The following is a 23,338-nucleotide window of genomic DNA, read 5'->3' on the forward strand; positions in this document are numbered from 1 at the left end:
AGGCCTTCACTATATATGCAGCATGTCCCTCAACCTGAGTCTGTTTGCTGTTTCCACATGACCAGACTCAGGTCATGCATTCTTAGCAGGAGTACCACAGAAATGATTCTGTGCTCATCTGGAGAAGTCAGCATTTTCCCTCTGCATTTGATGAATATTTTGTGGCAGAATTGCCCAATATTATAAATAATATACTGTCTCTATGCAAATCTGTGTCCAGCTTCCATTGGTGACTCCTGTCTATATCAACTACCAAATGGTGCCAGATGGAGATTATCTATTCCCATCATTTGATCTACATTGATTAATTGGCATTATACTGTAAATAAATGGTTTCCTTTCTACCTCATTTCTTTATTTACTCATTTATTTCTATCAGTGCAATGTTATGGTTTTCTATTTTGCTTCATGAATTATAATTAGACATGCTAATTTATTTTGATGCACAAATTGTCCTAGATTTGGCCAGTGTGAACTCCCTAAACCTGGCTTCTGTGTCCCTTTGACAGGTCCCTATCATTCCTTAAGCATTTCCTACTTCCTAGCATAACAACACATTCTAGGCTTACCTTATACTTTCCCTGCCCCGAGCCTGTAAGCAGCCATTTCTCCAGAAGTCCTTGTTCCTAGCAGTGGAAGATGGTATTTAAAAACATAGGTCTGGATGGGATGCTAGATGTGCTTATTACTATTGGGGTGTTACTGCTCCTAGACACTCTCAGTGGATAGGACAAGCTCTCTGTGTAGACATACATACACATACATACAAATATATACTCACACACAAACATATATTCTATTAGAGTTGAACAGAGAAGCTGAAGCAGTATATTACACACACACACACACACACACACACACACACACAGGGAATTGGCTTATGCAATTGTTGGGAACTGGACACCTGTGGGCACAAACTGAAGCCTTTTGTCCACACAGAGAGCCGTCAGGAAGGAAGATCGGGGGAAAGGGAGAGGAATTGCAGAACAATGCTGTTTGATCAGGGTAGGCTTAGGCCCTCTTTTTTTTTTTTTAAATTAAGAGACATTATTTTTTAGAGCAGTTTTAGGTTCACAGCAAAACTGAGAGGAAAGTACTGTGATTCCCATATGTCTCCATCTCCATATATGCACAAACTTTCTCGCTATTGACATCCTGCACCAGAGTGCTACATTTGTTGCAGTTGATAAATGTACATTGACACATCTTTGTCACCCAAATACCATAGTTTATATTAGGGTTCAATCTTGGTGTTGTACATTCTATGGGTTTGCGCAAATGTATAATGACACATATCCATCATTGTAGTATCATACAGAACAGTTTCACTGTCTTAAAATCCTCTGTGTTCTATTTATGCCTCTCTCCCTCTCAATCCTGGGCAACCACTGATCCTTTCAGTGTCTCCATAGTTTTCCCTTTTTCAGAATGTCATACAGTCGTAATCATAGACTATGTAGCCTTTTCAGATGGGTTTCTTTCACTTAGTGATATACTAAGCCTGCTTTTAGACACCTTTCAGCTGGTTAAGTCAGGCCCAACAAGTAGAATCTCCCATTTGACTAAAGCCGACTGATTAAGGACTTTAATCACGTCTGCAAAATTCCTTCACAGCAGCACTTAGCACTTAGATTAGTGTTTGAATAACTGGGAAAAGGTATGTATATGCTTCAACACGACTCTGCTTCCTTTCTGTCCTTCAGTTCTCACGAGAGAATAGCCCTTGTAGCCCACCCTAATCAGAAACATAGTAGAAAGGGACTTCTGGGGACTGTAGTTTAGCTTAGCCAAACTGATCCATCAGAAAAAGCCATCCCTCACACACATCTATGACAGTTTCTCCATCTATCAATCTGTTATTGTATCTACCTATCAATAAAAATTCGTGAGTATCTGTTTGTCTACCCATCTATAAAAATTCATGAGTTCACACCTATAATTTCAATCTTACACTCCAGGGTTCATTTTAGCCTTTACCTTTTTCACATTTCAAAATTCTTCCTCAGACAGTAAGAAACCTGGTTCATAATACCCTCAATATATTCATTTATTTGATCAATGAATTACCTAATCTGCTTAGTGTTACCCGTCTCCACATACTTCATTCTCCTCCTTCTGCCCTCTCTTGCTCACTGTTTTGCTCCCTGGCTCCTGGGTAAGCTGCTGCACTCCTCACTGCCTCTTCCTTGGATGCTGACATATTTGCATTCTTTCTTCAATGAAAGAAAGAATTGGAAGAAAGGATGGGAAGAGAAGAAAGGGTGTTGGTTTTTACAATATTTTAAAGAGTTTTTCTTTTTCACTTTATTTGTGTTCAATCTTACCCCTGTTCAACCAAAGGCATCCATTACCTTGGGGAAAATTCAGATCGCTGAAGCAGTAATGGAAAGAGGAAAAACAAGTCCGTATTCAACCATTGACTTCCAATATAAGAAGGTTTGCATTCACAGCAGTACCACACATCTTTAAATCTTGGTTTGATCAAGACAGCCAAGTGTTTTTTAAAAATTCCAGATACCCCCTTAAAATATTAAGGGCCCAGCTTGGTGGACTATGTGTCAAAGTGTAGAGGAGACAGTTGATATCATGTAAGAGATGTGTCTACCAAGCAGGAAGAAGTGGAAAGCTTTCTTCTATAGGAGGAAGGAGGAGAAGAAACAGGATCAAGAATGGGGTGAAGATGTTGCCTTATATCTAGGCCTGTGTGTGTAGGGGCCAGGTGGTGTTGGAAAGAAAGCAGATACATCAGATAGTTGAGGGGATAGCTAGAAGCAGAGGCTACCCATCCCCTGATTCCCATTGATAACTATGAGGAGACTGCATTCAGGGTTCTCCTTGCATCTTCATATGGAAGTGCAGTAGGGTGGTAACGGCAGCGTGAAATGCTCAGGCAGAAAGAGGCCTGAGATGGAGCCCCTTGTTCTCTAATGCTTATGCATGTCACCTAAGGAATGCAGATGCTCTCACTGTGTCCTGGCCTCCTCCATGATGCATGTGGGAAGTGGCTGAAAGTGCTTGCTGGTAACCTTGCCAACCAGATGACTGACACAAAGAAAGAAGGGACTTCATAAGTGGTCTTCCCAGGGTGGGGACTGAGTGGGAGTGGCAGCCATAACTCAGAGGGGCCATGGCACCAGGGAGAGCTGAGAGGGGGCCTATGAGCCCCCTAGAAGCAATTGCCATTCATTGCCCACCCATGCTGAGAGTACAGGCCTCCTATCATGGCAGCTGAGGTGACCTGCACAGTGACAAGAGTGTCGACAGAGACCAAGGCCCAGAAATATTCTGGCTAAGAAACCTTGAGCAGAGAACAACCTGTATATCGGGGTTCTTTTATCCATTATGTGAGGATATTTAAGCTTAGCTCTGCACCAAGATATCATCTTCATGTGGTTGGGACAAGGAGAGGGCAGTCCTCCTAAGGCATGAAGAATCCACTCTGTTAGGAGTTTAGGCTTTGAAAAGCTATTGAACCATGAGATTCAGTTGACCAGAGATTCTTTTAAGTGAGAGATTAAGTTATCATTAATGGGTGATTTGAAAATCTTTCTTTGCCATCTCCTTTCCTCCACCACCACCACTACTCCATCTCCCTTCCCAAGGAATCAGGGAATGAAATTGCAGAAAACAGCTTGAGACTGATAACAGAAAATAAAAGTACATTTTAATCATAGTGTATACATTTGGACCCCAACACATTGCTAAACAGCCCCATATTCTAGGCCCTGCCTTGGGTTCGTGAGTGCCATATGGACGCCATGTTGTTCTGTGGAGGCACCAGTTAGAATTCTTTTGGCCAGGTTTTAGTCGATTCAGCAAATTGCTTAGGAGAGAATGATCCATTGTCAAAGAGATCATTCTTTCAGGGAATGCATGTCTGGCAAACATAGCCCTCAATTTGCAGATTGTTGTGGTACCTGTGGTAATGAGGATTCTGTATCTTTTTCCAATTTAAGAAAATTTCTTGCAGTTCTCTGTGACAATGATGTGTAGTTCTTGACATCCAAATGAGCTGATATAATTCTAACAGTATGCGGCGTATTCCTATGGTGCTGGTGGGTGTTTTGTTTTATATTGCCTTACAGTTTTCGAGGTGAATTTGACATCTTAAGATGACTAAAATATCAGTTTTACATACCAGGGAACTTTTCCTAATATGGATGACTATCTTGGTTACATTTCTGCTTGTTCTTACAATGGCAGTTTCCATGTGCAACATCTGAAACCGTCTGTCCAGGGACTGGGACTTCCTTGGATCCTGTAGCTTCTGTTCGTGTCCTGTGGTGATTTCTAAAGAATGCTATCCTTACCATGAGTGTCTAGACAAACTCTATGGACATTTCCTTATTATTTTCAAGGTCACAGAGAGAAGGAATTTTGTCACAAATGACCCAGAAAGTCCCTAGCACATTGGGAATGCCTAACTATAGTAAAAAGCAATGAGAGAGGTGAATAGGCCCTGAAATGAAGAAAACTCAGTTCTCCTGCCCCATCAAATCAGCAGTCCAAATCTAAATGGAAGATGTAAAACAAATTGAAGGGAAAAATTGTTCTGGATTGACATCTTAGGGATTTGTTCTTGAATTAACCAATAAAATAATATAGGTTTAATCTCTTAAGAAAGTAGGCACTGTTGTTGGGAGAGGTCTTAGTAGATGAATCACCTGAAACTTAAATTCCACTTCTGAGAATAAATAAAAGTGGTAAATAAGTTAACTTCCTGTTATGTTTGTTTCTTGGCAACTCTGAGCCCCCTTACCAATCTAGTTTCACTGAATATGAGCTATTATCCCCCTTTGATATTTTCCTTAAAGGTTTTAATTTTAATGGTTGAATCATCTTGAATGAAAGAAATAGTGGATAAAGAAATACGGTAAAGGCTTTAAGAGGGAGGGGACAAAATGTAGTTTTCCTGGATGTTGTTGTTCAGAGTGTTTGTGAAGAAATGATAAACACCATGGCAACAAGAAAAATAATGATTTGTACCCCAAAGGCTGTTCCATGTAGTCATGTACTAAGACATAAAAGGAAAAAAAATCAACCAAATTTTCCCTTGGAAAAGCTTATGAGGCAGAGGGAATAAGTTAAGAATTTATTATATAGCCCACTAGAAAAATACAGAATATATGAACATTTCTAAATTTTACTATCTGCCAGCAAAACCCATAGCACTGTTGTACAGAGGGAAGAGTAGAGCGTAGGGCTTCTGTGTGTCTCTGACCATGTCAGTGAAGAAGGGATGGGGTGTGCGATCTAGATCACAGCTGGGAGGGTCATGCCAAGTCGGGAAGAGTGAGTCACTCCACAGGAGGGTTAGGCATTTGAAACAATGTGGTCTCAGAGGGTTATGGTTCCATCGGCTCCTACTCTTCACTCTCCTATAGCCTCTTTCACTTCATATTTTCACCTGGGACTACAGGACATATAATAACTACTTGATATTGAGCGTTTATTACCCACCTGACACCATTCCCAGTGTTTTATGTGTTTTTCTTAAATAAGACATGAAGTTATTAGGATGTAGACATGTTGAATAGTAATTAATGACAAACTTTGAATTTACACAGGGTCTTTTCTCCATGGATTAGCACAGGAAGACAGTGAAATGAGCAGTGAGATTCAACTTGAGATCTCAAATTGTTCGGGTTCAAGGTTATCTTATTTGGGAGAGTTGAACTCTAGGACTACTACTTATTTGTTTAGAAAAGCTATCTGACAGACGGCAAATAAATGAAACATCTGAATACATGACCGTAACTTCTATTCAGAGGGTGAGGCAGGGATGGGTAGCTGTCCACAGGTGCTAGGAGTGGCTTCTCAGCCTGGGGCCAGCTACATTTCCTAGACCCCTCTTGCACTGGAGTGGGGCCATATGTCCAATGAGTGGAACATGAATGGAAGTAACATGTCACTTTTGAGTTAATGTGGTAAAAAGCCTTTGTGCCTACTCCCTCCTACTTCACACACAGTCATGCACACTGAATAGGAACATCTGTTTTGTTTCATACATAAAATAAGCTCACATAGGTTGGGCACGGTGGCTCATGCCTGTAATCCCAGCACTTTGGGAGGCTGAGGTGGGCAGATCACCTGAGGTCAGGAGTTTGAAACCAGCCTGGCCAACATGGTGAAACCCCGTCTCTGCTAAAAATACAAAAATTAGCCAAGTGTGGTGGTACATGCCTGTAATCGCAGGTACTTGGGAGGCTGAGGCATAAGAATTGCTTGAACCAGGGAGGTGGAGATTGCAGTGAGTCAAGATAATGCCACTGCATTCTAGCCTGGGTGACAGAGTGAGACTATGTCTCAAAAAAAAAAAAAAAAAAAAAGAAGTTCACATAAAGAAAACATACGAAGTCACTGAGATTTCTGGGTTTACCTCTTACAGCAGCTAGAACTACCCTCACTAATAAGGAAAATTACCTTGAGCCATTAAAATTATAAAGGTTTATTTTGGTTTCCTTTCCAACAGAAAATTTGGTTGTGAAAGACACAAGTTAGAAAGAGCTCTTTTTCAGATGGATATAAGGCACATTTTAGAAATTTCAGCAAAAGTAAACTAATTTTTTTTCTTGGAAAACTAGCATTTAAATATTTAATTATTTCAAAGAAAAGCAAGGTGATATCGAGTGGTAGCATTTGAGAGGGAAAACTAACAGGCAGAATATAACTTTGATTTCCATAGACCTTTATAATTCAATGGAAGTTGCCTGTGTGCCATGTTCTGGGCTCTGAGTTAAGAGCTTTACATGTACATCTTCTTTAATTATGACAACCCCCCAGATTGGCACTATAATTATCCCTAGTTTAAAATGAGAAAATCGAGACTCAGGGATGTTAAATAACAAGTTTAGTGTCACACTCTAGGAAGGGATAAAGTCAGGAACCAAGCATGAGGCTGACTGCTGAGCCTGAGCTCGCCACTACTGCGCCATGTGGCTTTTCATTTTGCACACGGCATCGTCGCCACTTATGGATGAAAGTGCTAAGGCCCAGTGAAGGGAAATGCGTAGCTCAGGTCCAAACTGCCAGCATTTGTCAAAGTTGGATTTTCTGACTCTGACTTCAGTACTCTCTCAACTTGGAATACCATAAATTAAAGCAAATACTAACTTGGTTATGGGGCAGTCAATATTTTTAGAGTGTTTATAGAAAGGAAGTAATTTTGGCCTGGCAAAAGAGCAAACTGAAGGTAGTTTTACATTTCTATTTCAAAAAGAATCATTCAAATTGGGAAAATTCGCATGCGCTGGATCACCCTGTGGGATATTCAGGGAGAGCAGACCCCTTCGGCTTCCTCTCCAGCCGTTTTAAAAGCAAATTTTGTAGATTATCTCACCTGGCTTGTTGCCCTCGGAGTCTGATGCACAAAATTGCTTGGTGTTTGGCAAGATTTGATTGGCAAGAAAGTGTTCCTGTGGTTAGTTTTTGTGTCTGACCCTTGCTGGGAGGTTAAGGCTAGTTTTTATGCTTGTGCCCTCACAAAGGTGAACTACCCTGTTCACCTCCATTCTCCTCAGTAGGAGAGAAGTGTGGCCAGGAGGAGGGGCACCAAGGGGGGTGGACCTCACGGTGACAAGAGGGCTCTGGAGCCACATTTCCTGGGTTTGGGCTCCATGGCCATCATCCTCTGGGAAGTGACCTTGGACTCTGTGCCTCAGTTTCCTCATCTGTAAAACGGGGGTGGGGGTGAGACTTTTGGTTTATGTGATTGAAAAGATAACACATGTCAAGGTCATAGCCTTAGAGGAGATACACACTAAGTGCTCAGTCGAATTTAGCTATAGTATAAATGGCATATTAAAGAAAATGTCTGAAGGAGGGTGTGTATAATTAACAAAGAGCAACATAGCCTTCTTGCTTGTGAATTGTCTAGTCGTATTTTCACCAGTGTCTGCTGATACCGAATTTGGCCTAGACACAGTGGTTTGAAGGAACCAGTTGGCGACAGGGTTTGGAAGGAATAGGTCCATGTCTAAGATGTAGCATCTGGCCTCCAAGTTCCTGAGAAGCAGCAGGATCCTTGGATGGGACAGATCATTAAACATGTAGCCTTGACCACCCCTTCCTCATTCTTGGAAAAAAGCCAACAAGGTGACTCTTGGGGAATGTTTCACTCTAACCAGTTTTCTTCTTTTTTTCTCCCCTCTCTCATGTATTTTTGCTCTGAATTAAAAAAAAAAAAGTCCTGCTGTGGTCATTTTGATCTCATCATGGTTTTTAATGTCAGGCTGGTCCATTCAATATCTAGTTAGCGATAGGAGACCAGCTGCTTCTCAGGCAAAGGAAGGAAAGCACGAACCTCCATGTTCTCATCCCCCTCCTCCCAATTATGTGGTCTCTTATCCCAAGATTGCCTGGAGGAATGTGGCTTCAGGCCCTGAGAGCCTCCAGGAAACAGGATTGCTCAGGGGGCCTGAGAAACTGAAGGCAGGCACCGAGTAGGTCCAAAGAGGCCGGAAGGGCTGGTTGTGAAGCAAGGTGGAGGGAGTGGAGGGAAGTGAATGATGGGGCTGCAGAGCTTTGTCTGAGATGTGGGTGAAAGGTTAGGCTACCTATGGGCCTAGAAGAGCACTACTTTCAGAAAAGGACTGGCAAGAAGAATGTAATGAAGCGTCAGCACTGGAGCTTTCTAATCCACAGGAATGCAGCTGAATGCTAACAGGTCTTCTCTTATTCCCCATTCTCTTTTCGTGCATCTATTCTGGAAACCCAGGTCCTTGTGCTGTCTTTGAATTTCCTCTTGGCTGATGAGTTTTTAATCGTAGTTCAGAGTCTCTGGGACTTTTCCTCAGGCTCCTTCTTAAGCTTATAGGATTATCTGGCCAGATCAGTTATTCTTTCTTTTGAACTGTGTAAATTATAAATAACTTTCCTGAGAAAAGAGCACCGGATGGGGAGGCAGAAGCTCCAGCGTTGTCCTTAATTGTGTGATCTTGTAGTCACGGTCCTAGATGCCCCTTTTAGGACGGAGGCACTTACTCTCCCAACTGTTGGGAAGATGGGCTGTGATGGTTTACAGCTGAATTTATCTGTAAGCACTGCCCTTGGCCTAAGGCACTGATTGCTAGTGGTGGTGATTTTGCCCCACAGTGGATATTTGGCAATGTCTAGGGTCATTTTTGGTTGTTACAGCTGAGGGGGGTGCCCATGCTACTAACATCGAGTGAGTAGAGCTCAGGCATGCTCCTAAAATCCTGCAATGCATAGTATCCTACAATAATTATCCATTCCAGAATGTCAAAAGTGCTGAGGTTGAGAAATGCTGTCCTAAGGTAGCCACCATACCCAGGATTAAACCTCCTCCTCAAGGGCAGTCTGGATACTCTAACAGGTTAATGCAGGGGGGTACAAAGATCTGGTGCCTTGCTTCAATTTAGGGCCATCACAAAAAAGGCCATCCTAGCTCCAGAGCTCTCCATGGGATCAGCAGAGGCCTCTGGGACTGCACCACACTTCAACTCCTCCCCCTGCCCAGTCCAGCTTTGTTCCCTCACAGGCGCTATTCCTGAGAAACACTTCCCAACAAACCTTCTGCACACAAATCTCCACCTCAGAGTCTGTTTCCCAAGGTACTCAAACTAGGACAGTTCATATCAAAAACAATCCTAAGGAGCAGACTGAGTGTTGCACTCTTTTGCTCCTTGTTAAAACTGAGGCAGACTTCAATTCACTTACAGACTTCTATTAGTAATGTGTGACACAAATTGCTAATTGTATCCAGTGTCTCTCCTCTCCCATTTTATCCCAATAATACAAATTCTAATGGGACATATGCTGCCTGTATGTTAGTTAGGCTTGATAACATGACCATGCTCTGACCAGGGAGGTAAATGGTTGTGATGGGTGGCTCAATCCAACTTCTGGGTTGGGTTCTTATGGAAAAGGACCATGTCCTCTCCTCCCCTGGGCCCCTTGCCACTGGCTGGACTGCAGAGGTAATGGGAGAGACTAGAGCAGTCACCATGAAAGCCTCATGCAGAGGATGTCAAAGTAGCAAAATGGGAGGAACGTAGGTCTGTGATAATTATGGGGTCAGCCAACAAACCTCGGCCACTTTTCAGGATTTTTTTTTTTTTTTTTTTGAGACAGAGTCTCGCTTTGTCGCCCAGACTGGAGTGTAGTGGTGCGATCTCGGCTCACTGTAACCTCTGCTTCCTGGGTTCAAGCGATTCTCCTGCCTCAGCCTACTGAGTAGCTGGGACTACAGGCTCATGCCACCATGCCCGGCTAATTTTTTGTATTTTTAGTAGAGACGGGGTTTCACCATGTTAGCCAGGATGGTCTCGATCCCCTGACCTCATGATCAGCCCGCCTCGGCCTCCCAAAGTGCTGGGATTACTGGTGTGAGCCACCGCACCCGGCCCACTCTTCAGGACTTTTATGTGAGAGACAAAACTTTTTTCTATGTTACTATATTTTGGAACTCTCTTTTGCAGCAGCCAAATTAGTACTTGATAAAAGAAAAACTTCAACTGAATTAAATTTAAAGGAGTTTAATTGAGCAATGAATGATTCGCAAATCGGGCAGCCCCCAGAATTATGGCAGATTGGCAGCGACTCTAGCACAGCCACGTGGTGGAAGAAGATTTATAGACAAAAAACTGGAAATGACATATAGAAATCAGAAGTGAGGTACAGAACAGCTGGATTGGTTACAGGTTGGCTTTTGCCTTATTTGAACACAGTTTGAACACTCAGCAGTGTATGAATGGTTGAAGTACGACCGCTGGGATTGGCCAAGACTCAGGTATTATTACAGGTGCATACTCCTAGTTAGGTTTTCAATATAGGTTGCAGTTAGTCCACAAGGACTCAAATATAGAAGTACAGAGTCCTTCTCAGGCCATACTTAGTTCACTTTAACATACCTAAACTATGCATATCCTTAGCATACCAAAATGAGCATGATAAAGACTATAAAAAGATGTATTATTTTTAACGATGTTTCGTTAACCATGTTTTTTATTTTCCATTCTCAAGATAAACCACATAATTTTATGATTGAATCCCTATTGTCTGCATCATAGCTCTAACTAGCAAGGGAGAGTGGGGCTGGGAAAGAGAGTAAGAACATCAGAATCCTCTAGAAAATTGTTATGAAAATGCACACACTCAGGCCTCTCTCTTATAGAGATTGTAGTATACCTTTGGGGTGGAATATATTTCATGTAGGTGTTTTGAAAACCTAGGATAGCTTATAAAACTCACATCTGCTCTTATATGTCACCTTGCTCCATAAAGGAAGCACAGAGTAGAACCTCAACTTATGTCTTTTGAATAACTAAATGAAATTTCTAGGACTAGGGGCATAGTAGATGCTATGGAACTTTTTCTTCTTCTAGTTGCAAAGCTAACAGCTCCTTATGAGAACTCAAAAGGCACTCCTTATGTTCCCAGCAATAAAGATCTAAGGCCCAACAGATTTGTGAGTATCCAAGAGAGTAAGAGCAAAGATAGATAGAACCCTATCACTTGCTTTTAGTAGATATATTTTTAAATGGGGTTTGAAATCTAAAACTCCTCATAGACATTCAGATGTATTTCAATTAGGAGGTTATATTGTACACATGTTGTAGGTACATTAGGTGACCCTATTTTCTTGGCCAAAGAATCACTGGGCATTTATGTAAAATATTTACAGGTAGATGACCTTTGGCTAAAACTTTCATAGCCTATAATTTTATTTACTGACTAGCTTTAGTAGAAGTATCAATGCACATTGATTAAATAGTTGTGTGTAGCTAGTTCAAATAGCTATGTAAATCCAGATTAGGAAGTAATGAGCATCCTCATACTACACAGAGATTTATTTGTGACTCTTATTGAGCTCAAATAATTGGGTAGCGTGATGCTGACTAAAGCAAGAGTTCTGCCTAGTGCTCATTTGAACTGGTGTCTCCTGCTTTTGGTGCCTCACAGAAGTCACTCTGCTGGGGCCCAGGACCCCTCAGCCTGCAGCCCGGTGGTCAGGACATTGATAGGAGCCCAGGTCCCAAGCTGCTTTTGAGACTTTGGATTTCTCCTTTATGCTGAAGCCCTTTCCTTCATTGTGCTACATTATCAGGGGTTTTCAGGGCCCTACTGGTCCCTCTAGGCTCTCTATTACTCATAAACATTTTGCTTCATCTCCTCCTACTAATAGCTTCAATCTTTCCATATTCAAATAAGTTCAAAATCTTGAGAGGAAAATTGGCTCATCTTTGTGTCCCAGGCTAGGTCAGAAAACGCTAACTCCCTCAGGGATGAATAGCCCTTGGGTCAGTGATCACTTGGTAGGGGACCCCCGTCTGCCATTTTCCTGAGCTCAGGCAAAATGAAGGGCAGTACTAGCTTAAAAGAGGAAGGTGGGCACTTCTAATGATGTGTGCAGTTCCCACAGAAAGGCATTCCTGTTGTTCAGAAATCAAATTCCATTGTGCTATAGAGAAAACTATTTATTAAAAAGTCTGTGTTGAGGCCGGGCGCGGTGGCTTATGCCTGTAATCCCAGCACTTTCGGAGGGCGAGGTGGGTGGATCACCTGAGGTCAGGAGTTCAAGACCAGCCTGGCTAACATGGTGAAACCTCATCTCTACTAAAAATACAAAATTAGCTGGGTGTGGTGGTGCATGCCTGTAGTCCCAGCTACCTGGGAGGCTGAGACAGGAGAATCACTTGAACCTGGGAGGTGGAGGCTGCAGTGAACCGAGATCCCACCACTGCACTCCAGCCGGGAAGAGACAGAGGGAGACTCAGTCTCAAAAAAAAAAAAAAAAAAAAAAAAATCTGTGTTGAGAGTTATAAGCAGGTCTGTAAGAGGCCTGTGCAAGCTGTCCCTTAATTTAGTTGAAGATGGTCTTTCTATTCTGCATGTATTTATCAACTTCGGAAGAGATCTAGATGTAAATTCCAGACCTCTGTTATCTATGCAGAAATCCTATGAGGGAAAGCAGGGTCCATGAGCCTTTTAGTATTATAAGAATGTGGAATGTTAAATGGGAAAGGTATCAGAACTAAGAGATTTCACATTTTAGGGATAATAAGAATATTCTCATGGGTTATCATGGTGATTAAATGAAGTGACCCACGTAATGCATCTGGCATTTGATAGATGATCAGTATATGATGGTGGTTATTATTCATTGTGGGATCAAACATCCTGAAATTTTGAAAACATTTATCCTGAGTGGTTTGGTTTTTCTGTTTTCATTGTTTTTATTTGCTCAGTTTTTGCCATGAAAAAATACAATCTCTCTAATCACTGAGATATTAAGAAACATGTCCAATATCCAAAGGAAGGTTGAATATCCCAAAAGCTTTCAAGTTCCCCTTAGGTGCTTTGACTTTAGTACTGGAAGCTTCCACCAGATAATTAGTGATCTCTTATTAATTCAAAGCATACAGGCAGTATATGCAAACTTGAATATGATTGGGAATAACACACATCTATGTGTTTTCTTAAAATATTGAGTGGGCATAAATTAACCTCACCTTCTCCTCCAAAATTGCGAAATGCATAATATTCTTTGGCCGTTTAAAAGAATGAGGTATAACTTCTACATTCTAAGAGGAACAAATGTCCACAAAGTGTTGTTAAAAATCAAGTTATAGAACAGTTTTATAGTATGTTGCTATTTTTATGTAATTGTAATAGTATAATAAAATACATGACTTGTGCATAGAAAAATAATCAGAAAAATACACAAACTTCATGACAGTTGTCCCTGAGGGCATGGGGGACTTTTACTGAAAATATTTCAGTGTGGTTTAAATTTTTACAAGGAAAGGATAATATTTTTGAAATTATAAAAATAAAAAACTTAAAAGTAGATTAAAACTTGCAAAATAGTTTATTTGAAGCAAATCTTGTAAAGTATACAAGGTGATTAAACACAAATAATGTGTTTCTGTTACTGACTTAAGTCAGCTCTTCTACCACTTGGTTTAGTGTTCCTAATATTTTGGCCACCTCAGGCAATTTTTATTACTTATTACAAGCTTTTCGGTTTCAGTTTGTTCTCAGCTTCTAGAATACAAGGTGTTAAATAACATCTCACTGCACTTTTGATTACTCACTCTCCCAAGACGTGCTCTCAAGTTATGCTTAAATTCTCCATCTCAAACTATCTGCTTCCCGGCCTCTGGGGGCTCTTCTCCCTAGAGGTGGTTCTGGGCTGGCTTTGAAGGAGTGTAAGGACCCAGTTGCTCCTGAATCTATTGTTAGGTGATTGCTGTTCTCCTTTCAAACTGTGCTCCCTATTGCTCAGGTCCATATGGTGACCCTCAAAATGTAGCGTACATAAGTATTTATTGAGGTTTGCTTAAAACTCAAAGTCCTAGCTCCAGGGATTCTCCTTCAGTAGGTATGAGATGGGCCCAGGAATCTGCATTTTAATTAAGAATCTTATAGAATTCCATTCTACCCCAGGGGTTCTGTGGAAGTATTTCAGGCACTGCAGTCAGGGAGGGTTCCAGGGTTCATTCACTGTCAATCAAAACATATCTGCTTTTATCTTTTTTAAATTAGGCATCTGGGCCAGGCGCAGTGGCTCTCACCTGTAATCCCAGCACTTTGGGAGGCTGAGGCAGGCAGATTGCTTGAGGCCAGGAGTTTAAGACCAGCCTGGCCAAGACATAGCAAAACTCCCCTCTCTACCAAAAATACAAGAATTAGCTGGGCATGGTAGTGTATGCCTGTAATCCCAGCTACTTGGGTAGCTGAGACATGAGAATCACTTGAACCCAGGAGGTGGAGGTTGCAGTCAGCCAAGATCATGCCACTGCACTCCAGCCTGGGGCAACAGGAACAGACTCTGTATAAATAAAATAAAATAACATAACATAACATAACATAACATAACATAACATAACATAACATAAAATAAATAAAATAAATAAAATAAAATAAATATAGCGTCTGGTAAGATATTACTTGTAGAAATCTGTTCATCTGCATCTACTGATCTAAATCTCCCAATCATCTCCTTCTGTATCATGATTTGAAAGACCTTTTTCAATCCATAATTCTAAGAATAATCAAGCAAGCAAACAAACAAGGCTCCTCAAAACTCACTTCTTTTCTAGCTTTGTTATGGCTTCCTTTTTTTACAATACAGCTGGGATTTTTTTTTTTTTTTTTGGTATTAGGTATAAGGTGAGGATCCATCTTAATTCTTATCCCAAATAATTTACTAATTATATTTACAATTCGATAAGAACAATCTGTTTTCCCACAGATTTGAAATGTAATATTTATCATATGTCACATACCTACTTGGCTTTATTTCTGGGTGTCTTCTTCCCTTGATATAGCTGCTATTCTACTGCTATCATTCTTTCTTAGTTATGATATCTTTGTAGTGCAATTCATTATTTAGTAGAGCTGATTGTCTTTCATTATTCTTCACTTTGAATATTTTTTCATTGGGTTGACTTTTATATCTAAAAGAACAATGTTTGCTTGGTTCTGGAAAAGTCTCTGAGATCTTAGTCAGAATTTCATTCAATTTACAAATTAATCTGGTAGAGGAAGAAAAATTGACATTGAGTATTGAGCATGTCCTTCCAGGAATATAGTATGGTTTTCAATGTAATTGGTCCTCTTTTATGTCCCTCAGTTAAGCTTCCTTTCTGCCTTTTGGTAGGATCTGCACATTTCTTATCAGTATTCAGTATGGAGTAGTACAGAGCATGTTGGCTCTGGAATCAGATGCCTGGGTTCAAAGCCTTACCAATCGAGACTCTGTGCTAGTTGCTTAATCTTGCTTGTCTCAGTTTTCTCTTCTGCAAAATGGGTATGATATTAACAGTACCTAGCTCAGAGAGTTCCTTAAGGAATAAGTAAATTTCATGCAAAGCACCTAGGACATTTCTGGCATACATTAAGTGCACTTTACATTTTAAGTTAAGCTCTCTTTCCATAGCTGTAGCTGTCTTATCCAGAAATTACTTAAGAATGCTCCTTAAGTGTCCTGCACTTGAACACAAGTGAAGTCTTTGAAGTGAGAAACACGTAAGCATATAAAGTAGATAGGTTAAATAACAACTCAGAGACGAGTATTTAAAGCACCAAGGATTTGATGGTATAGACAAGGAAGAACAGCCTCTGTGGAGGCGGTCTCCTTGAACAAAGGCAAAGTCAGGGCTTATAATTATAAAAAGCTAAACCCACAACATTTCACAAGAAAAGGGGATTGATGTAGGCAAATCTAGTTTAGGGTCAGCTGGTTGCAGTGATGCTCTACAGGCTGTTTACTGGCCTATCATGGTTCTGTGGTTTCAGTAGGAATTGTGTTGCCACTAAAGCTCATGCTCTGTATTCAGGCTCCTGCCCAGAACTACTTTCTTTGATTTTAGATAGTCTTCAGTCATTCCCTAGTCTGTACTCCATGGTATAAATAATTATCATACATTTAACTATAATTTTATTTTTGCAGTTTTAACCCCGTGGATTCTGAACTACTCACCACTAACCCACTGTCGTATTTACCTTTGTCTGTAGGTGCTTTGACTGGATTCTAGCACATAGTAAGAGCTCAACAAATGTTCCAGTGAATGAATTAATCTCCTGGCCTATATACAAGTTGGGGACAAGGATCTTTCAAAGAGGCATAGTACACTGACTACTGGAAGTTATGTGCTTCTATTTTATACAACCTCTGTGGATCTGTTTGCTCATCTTAAAAGATGAAGTTAGAGTCCTATCAATGATTTTCAACCCTTGTTGCATGTTAGAACCACCTGCCAAAACTAAAGAAAAAAAAACCTCTAATGCTCAGGCCCCACCTCACATGGATTGGGTCAGAATCTTTGGTATCTTGGCACTGCCTTTTTTTTTTTTTTTTGAGACGGAGTCTCGCTCTGCTGCCCAGGCTGGAGTGCAGTGGTGCAATCTCGGCTCACTGCAAGCTCCGCTTCCCGGGTTCACGCCATTCTCCTGCCTCAGCCTCCCGAGTAGCTGGGACTACAGGCGCCCACCACCATGCTCGGCTAATTTTTTGTATTTTTAGTAGAGATGGGGTTTCACCGTGTTAACCAGGATGGTCTGGATCTCCCGACCTCCTGATCCACCTGCCTGGGCCTCCCAAAATGCTGGGATTACAGGCGTGAGCCACCACACCCGGCCTGGCACTGGTATTTTTAAAAACCTCTCCCTGACCCCCAGCAGGCAATTCTACTCTGCAGCCACACTGAGATCCACTGGGCCAGGTAAACTTGCACATCTATGACTGCGAGGAACAGCTGATGATCTTAAAGAGATTCAAAGCTAATTGAAAATCTCTAGTTTTCTGGGATCATCTTGTGAGGTAGCACATATTCAAACCCACTTTTATACTCCCTGAGAGGACATCGCTGTACTATGTAGTCCAGAATATAATTGCTGTCCATAATATGATTCAGAAAGTAGAGAATCAGTTAGTATATTTTGGCAAGACTTACACAAAAATGCATAAAAACTAAAATATTTAATGCATACTAGGGTAAATTAGTTGTCTGCCAAAGCCTTGTATGTGGAATATCTCACACTTCATGGATGCCTGGCCATTGAGCCTTACTGTGGTCACTTTCACATTTTCAGTAGACCGGTATGTGTACAAGGCTTTGTGATTTCTTGTTGAAGGATGGAGATTAAAAAAAAAAAATCACCAAAACTAAACAAAAACCTTTCTTCTTTGCTACCATGACTTCCTCTATCTGTGGCTGCATTTCTCTGTGCCCACTTAACAGAAAAACATCTTAGATGAGATTTCTGTCCTGTTTTCCACTCTCTGTTGGACTCACTTCAATCTTGTTTCTTTCCTACTACAGGATGGAAACTACATTTGCAAGGTCATTACCAATCACCTCCAAACCAGTGATGCTTTTTTTTTTTTTTTGGTCAGCTTATCTGACCTTTCAGCAACTTTTAACTTCCTTTTAATACTCTTCTTTCCTCTGGTTTCCTTCCTACTTAAGGCTGCTCCCCTTGAATATCTTTTGCTGGTTTCTACTTCTCTATCTTCTTTCCTTCTCTATCTGATGACTACATATTGGAGTGCTTTGGGGTACCACCCTAGACATTAGTTCCATGAATTTTTGTCAGAAATAGATGCTGAATACCATGACTTGCCCTACCACACCACAGTTTGATGGCTTAGCAATAGCATAGTTTTATTGCAATTTCTCAAACTGCAATTGAAATTTTCCTGAACAAGAAGACTTGTCCTGAATCACTATTATTGAATGTTGAATGGCTTTGGAAACCTTGTTGCAGATATGATAATGTTTTCTAATAAATTTAATCTAAAATTACATTATAAGACAGTGCTTCTATTGAAATTTAACGTGGAAAAGTCATTTTGATGAGAACTAGTGTTGTTTCAACAATAAGTAATGGCAAGATCAAATACATTTTCCATGCTGTCAAAAGTTAAAATAAGAAGCAGGATCTCTATTTTCACACAAATTTGTGGCAGATATGTTTTCTGAGCTTAAACTGCAGTTCCAACAGTGTTTCAGGACCTCATTGCAGTGCACATTTCATATTTTGAAATCCATTTAATGGACAGTTGAGGAACTTCCACCTAACCTTCAATTAATCTGAAATGCAAGGATATGCCAAAAGGCAGATATCAAGAGAAGAATCTAATAGAATTCCATAAATTCCTCCTGAGTGGTGAATATGCTCAATGAAAATCATATGTTTGTGGGAGATATCAGTATTTGTTAAAATCTTTGTGAAATATATTTTCAAAGATGGAGTATGTAAAATCTCATTACAGATCAACAGTAAGAGATGAACACCAACATTTCAACCAATTTTGATAACTAACACTAATTTTGAACCCCAATGAAGTAAAATGTTACCCCTCCCCAAGAGAATTCCATTCTTCTCATTAGTAGACCTGTATTACAAAAAATTATTCCCAATTATTATGTTTTGAATTTCATCAGTAAAAAATTTGTGGAACTTTTCCTCTCTGTTATAGAAGTACCTACATAACATCCTTGATTTTCCTATTGGCCTGCAAAGCCTAAAATATTTTTTATCTGGTACTTTACAGTTTGCCAAACCCTGGTCCACCCCATCATTATCTCTTCCATGCACAACTCAAAAGATTCCAGGCCACGCTTGTTCTGGTTGCTACTTCTTCAACTACTAGGCCTCTTTTCTCTTCCTCAAACATATCACAGGTTCCCCTGGCTCAGGCCTTTTTTTCTTGCTGCATCTTCTGCCTTTAAATGTTTGTTCTTATCCTTCAGGTCTCACTTTGAGTATCACTCTCTAGAGAATTGCCCACACCCACTTATTCTCTATCACAGATCACCCTCTTTATTTCCTTCATAGTTATCTCACATATTTTTTACTTAGTCATTGTCTCCTCCATCAGAATGGAAGCTCCACAAGACCAGATACCTTGCTGCTTGGTTCATCAGTGACTAGGACAGAGTAGATGTTCAATGATTATTTTTCGAATTAAAGTGTCACAGTAGTGGCTGGTCAGGCATCAGCAAGGCTGGAGAGGGCTCCCCCAACTCCTCACATCAGGACTGTCAGGTGACCATCAGATGATGGTCAGGTGGTTGTTAACGGGCTCTCTAAAATAATAATTGGTCACAGCTGGCGCCAGGGAAAGGCACGCTCCTAATAGATAGAAAACACCTGAAAATGGTCATCAGCAGCTTCCTGAGAAGATCTCAGGAGTTGGGTGAGTGGGCTCAAGCACATGCTTGCAGACAACCTACCCCAAGGGAAGAATCGGGGCAAAGTAACGCGAGACCCTGGGAGTAAGCCAACATATAAAACCCCCAAGTCAAACGGTCACACGGTGCACTTGATCTCCCAAGTTGCCCACTTAGCCCTCTTCTGAGTGTACTTTCTTTTTTTCCTTTCATTCTGGCGCTAAAACTTTTGGATAAACTTTCACTCCTGCTCTAAAACTTGCCTCAGTCTCTCCTTCTGCCTTATGCTCCTCAGTCGAATTCTTTCTTCTGAGGGGGGCAAGAATTGAGGTTGTTGCAGACCCGTATAGAAGTGAATTTGCCACTGGTAACAAAATAGTGGGGCAGGAAGCTAGTGGGTTCTAAAGTTCCAAGGCCGTCTACATAGCAGCAAGCCTCTAAGTCTTCCATTCTGACTGCTCTCTGCTCATGTTCTCAGTGCTTTTTCACTTTACTACAATGTAACTATAAAGCATTAAAAAGATAATTGGCCAGGCACGGTGGCTCATGCCTATAATCCCAGCACTTTGGGAAGCCAAGGCGGGCAGATCACAAGGCCAGGAGTTTGAGACCAGCCTGACCAACATGGTGAAACCTCTTTTCTACTAAAAATACAAAAATTAGCCGGGTGTGGTGATGCGTGCCTGTAATCTCAGCTACTCAGGAGGCTGAGGCAGGAGAATTGCTTAAACCTGGGAGGCAGAAGTTGCAGTGAGCCAAGATCACACCACTGCACTCAAAAAAAAAAAAATTTTGTGTTCACTCTTCTGATTCTGAGATGGTTGGATATTTAAGTGTAGGTAGGTCCACTGTTTGCTAGCTTGGGGTTGCAAACACCTCACCCTTAAGTTTGTTCTACAAAGTACAGCAAGTTAGAGTTAGTATTTCCCTAATCAATAAGGACCTTAGCTTGTCTTCCCCTGGGGTCATCCTCCCTGGATATGAATCCAGGTCATGCTTGGGCATGCTTACTTGTGTCTTACCGCAAGTCTGGGTTGCCCTCTCTGCTGGCCGATGGAGCCCCTTCTTAGACCTGAACCTCAGGGCGTTATAGGTGTGGTGTGAGGACCAGCAAGCAGCATTAGTATCACCTGGGATCTTGCTAGAACTTCGGACTCTTGGACCCCACTCTAGACCTACCGAGTCAGAACTGGCTATTTAACGAGATCCTCAGGTGAATCTTATGTCACATGCAGGCCTAGGTGCTGGGTGATCTGGAAGGTAGTTCCGGCTGGTAGTGGTGGCTGCCATTATCATCTCTGAGGACCCTCCAGAGATCTCTGCCTCACGCAGCACAGCTAGGTCCTGATGGCGACTGCTGCATCACTGTCCCAGTCATTTGGGACAGGGCCACACCTCTCGCTCATCCAAGTCATATCATGGGTGGGATGTAGTTCAGTAAAGTCCAAATGGTAACCTTCAGCAAAATATAACTGTTGATGAGGAGATACTAGAATATCTTAGAATCTTCCTGAGATGCTCTCAGAACTCTCTTGGTCTGTCCCTTCTGTGGCCTGGGATGTCTCAACCCCTATTAGTGGAACTTCTCCAGGCAGCTCCCTGCCACAGAGTCCTGATCAAACCAAAATTCTGAATGCAGAGAGAGAAGAAAATTATTCCCTGACTTCAGCCTTAGGACTGCTTGTCCAAGCCCTTGTTTCCTGACCCAGTATTGACCCTTCCCCAGGATGATTGATGGGGGAAATAGCCATTCTCTTCAGGGGGAAACCCTACCCCCACCCATAGAGGTGTGGTCCAATATATAATTGATTGACATAAGCACATTCCCTAAAGTCTGGGTTATTTGGTCTTAAATAAAAGCACATGTGGGATCTCAGCAGCTTTGGCAACTTTCTTTTCAGTTTTTCTCATAAAGGGTTCTGAAACCTGGGAGCCTAGCCTCATCCTGGGTTACCTGGTTACATAAGAATTTACTTGAAATGTGGTTTAAAGCTCATTGAGAACAGCTCATATGCTTACAGAGGAATCTAAGAAGGAAAAGCTGTGATTAAGAACTGGCTAAGATATATATAATAGTAAGTGAGGTGTAATTTTCTCTTGATCTCTGTAAACAACAGGTATTAGAAAGATTACCTGCCACTTTCCAGTTACATATACACTGACACCGAAGAAATGGGCTATTGATGGATCTGAACAGAGCTTATAGAATGACTCTGGATCACTTAATGCTGTCTTTGAAACCCCACCTGATGGCAATTTTTAGCTTTACTTTCCATTTTAGAGCTTTCCTATGTACTTCAAAAATAACCAGTTATGGTGGTTGGAAGGCACTTCTGCAAAAGATTTTCCAGAGGTTGAAAAGCAGAAAGAACAAATAGTAAGAAACATTTGCCGCTTATTGAATTTAATAAAAGTATCTTATTTGTATAGCTAACAGGCATTTCATACAGATGGTCTCATTTTATCTTTATATCAGCCCTGAAATTACGCAAAGCAGTATTTCATTCCCATTTTCAAGATTTAGAAAACTGAAACCTAGAGAAGTTAAACAGCTGGAAAGTAGTGAAGTTAGGTCTGAAAACTGTCTTTCGAATCTAAATTCAGTCCTCTATCTCTGGTTAAAGTTTGCATTCACGTTAAGGGTGTAGGCAGTAACAAGATGGGGTGATATACCATAGCTGTTTACATGGTTTATGGAACCACCAGTTTCTTAATACTAGGTCGTTTCTGACTCCTTAAGACTCTGAGAAAAGTCTCTGGATCAGAGCTCCCCATGCACACTTCTTTTCTTTTTCCCACTTTCTCTTCTTTCTTCCCTCTTTTATTTATTTCTCCAATTTGCTTCCTTTCCTCTTCACTCCCTCTGGCTTAGCTTGATTCTTAAAGGACTTCACTATTAACATCCAGGATGACTCAGTGTGAAGGAAACCACAGCAGATGTAGAGAAGAAAGGAGAGGAGGGGTTGTGGAAGGCGGGGGAGATGGCCAGGGCAGGTGTGGAGAGCAGCTTAGCACAGATACACTAATTTCCACGTCCAGACTGGTATTCTGAGATGTTCCCTGCTGCTCTGGAATCTCTGTAAACACAGGGATTTGTCTGGAATGACTTTACAGCTCAGCAGGAAGCTTGCTAAGTGCCAGGACTTTCAAACTGTGAGTGCTGCTCAGAAATGGAGGAGGAAGTGCTATCAGCCCAGGCCCACAGCCCTTGCCTGGGCCTGCCAGGGCCCATTTAGACTGGGAGAGGGGCATGGAGGCTTGTGCATGCTCCCGTCCTTCCATGGTGCCTGCTGCACTCACAGGGCAGTGGGGCTGGACGGAAACTTGCAAAGGCATCAGCTACATCTTTGAGCGGTTATAGTGAGCCAAACCTAAAATGTCCCAGAAAGCCATGAAAAAAACCAGCCTTGTTCTTACATTTCTTTTAAGGATAGAAACTTTCGTGATTTTACTCAGCAATACTTTTTTTTTTTCTGAAATCCTTTTTTGCAAGAAGAATGTAAATCTTCCCTGCAGCACTTTAATTTTTTCCTCTTTTTTTCCTTAATGGCATGTTGTTTCCCAAGAGTCACAGGTGGTGGTTCTGTCTCACTGTTGTGATTGAAATAAGCAAAGCTAGCAGGAGGGCAAAAGAAGAAAACCATGGAAGATTGTGTCTCTGGGAAGTGAAATGCAGAGAGTTTCATTTTTGTCTC

The 23,338-nt window shown here is 41.3% G+C and overlaps 1 long non-coding RNA gene across 4 annotated transcripts in view, besides 1 other annotated feature; it reads left to right on the plus strand.

The window, feature by feature from the left end:
• Nucleotides 1-23,338, plus strand: part of LOC105370504 (uncharacterized) — a 402,142-nt gene that overhangs the window by 12,461 nt on the left and 366,343 nt on the right. For all 4 annotated transcript variants that reach the window (XR_943876.3, XR_001750975.3, XR_007064173.1 and 1 more), the window contains exon 1: nt 1-17,189. This exon is cut by the window's left edge and continues 12,461 nt beyond it. This is a non-coding gene — a long non-coding RNA (uncharacterized LOC105370504). The remainder of the gene's footprint in view (nt 17,190-23,338) is intronic.
• Nucleotides 22,388-23,148: an enhancer, noted in NCBI's record as "OCT4-NANOG-H3K27ac-H3K4me1 hESC enhancer chr14:53822218-53822978 (GRCh37/hg19 assembly coordinates)". NCBI's record gives its function as "activates a minimal SCP1, AML or CMV promoter by ChIP-STARR-seq in primed H9 embryonic stem cells {active_cell/tissue: H9 hESC(primed)}" and the evidence as "EXISTENCE:reporter gene assay evidence [ECO:0000049][PMID:30033119]".

This window comes from Homo sapiens, chromosome 14, assembly GCF_000001405.40.
Source record: "Homo sapiens chromosome 14, GRCh38.p14 Primary Assembly".
NCBI classification, from domain to species: Eukaryota; Metazoa; Chordata; class Mammalia; order Primates; family Hominidae; genus Homo; species Homo sapiens.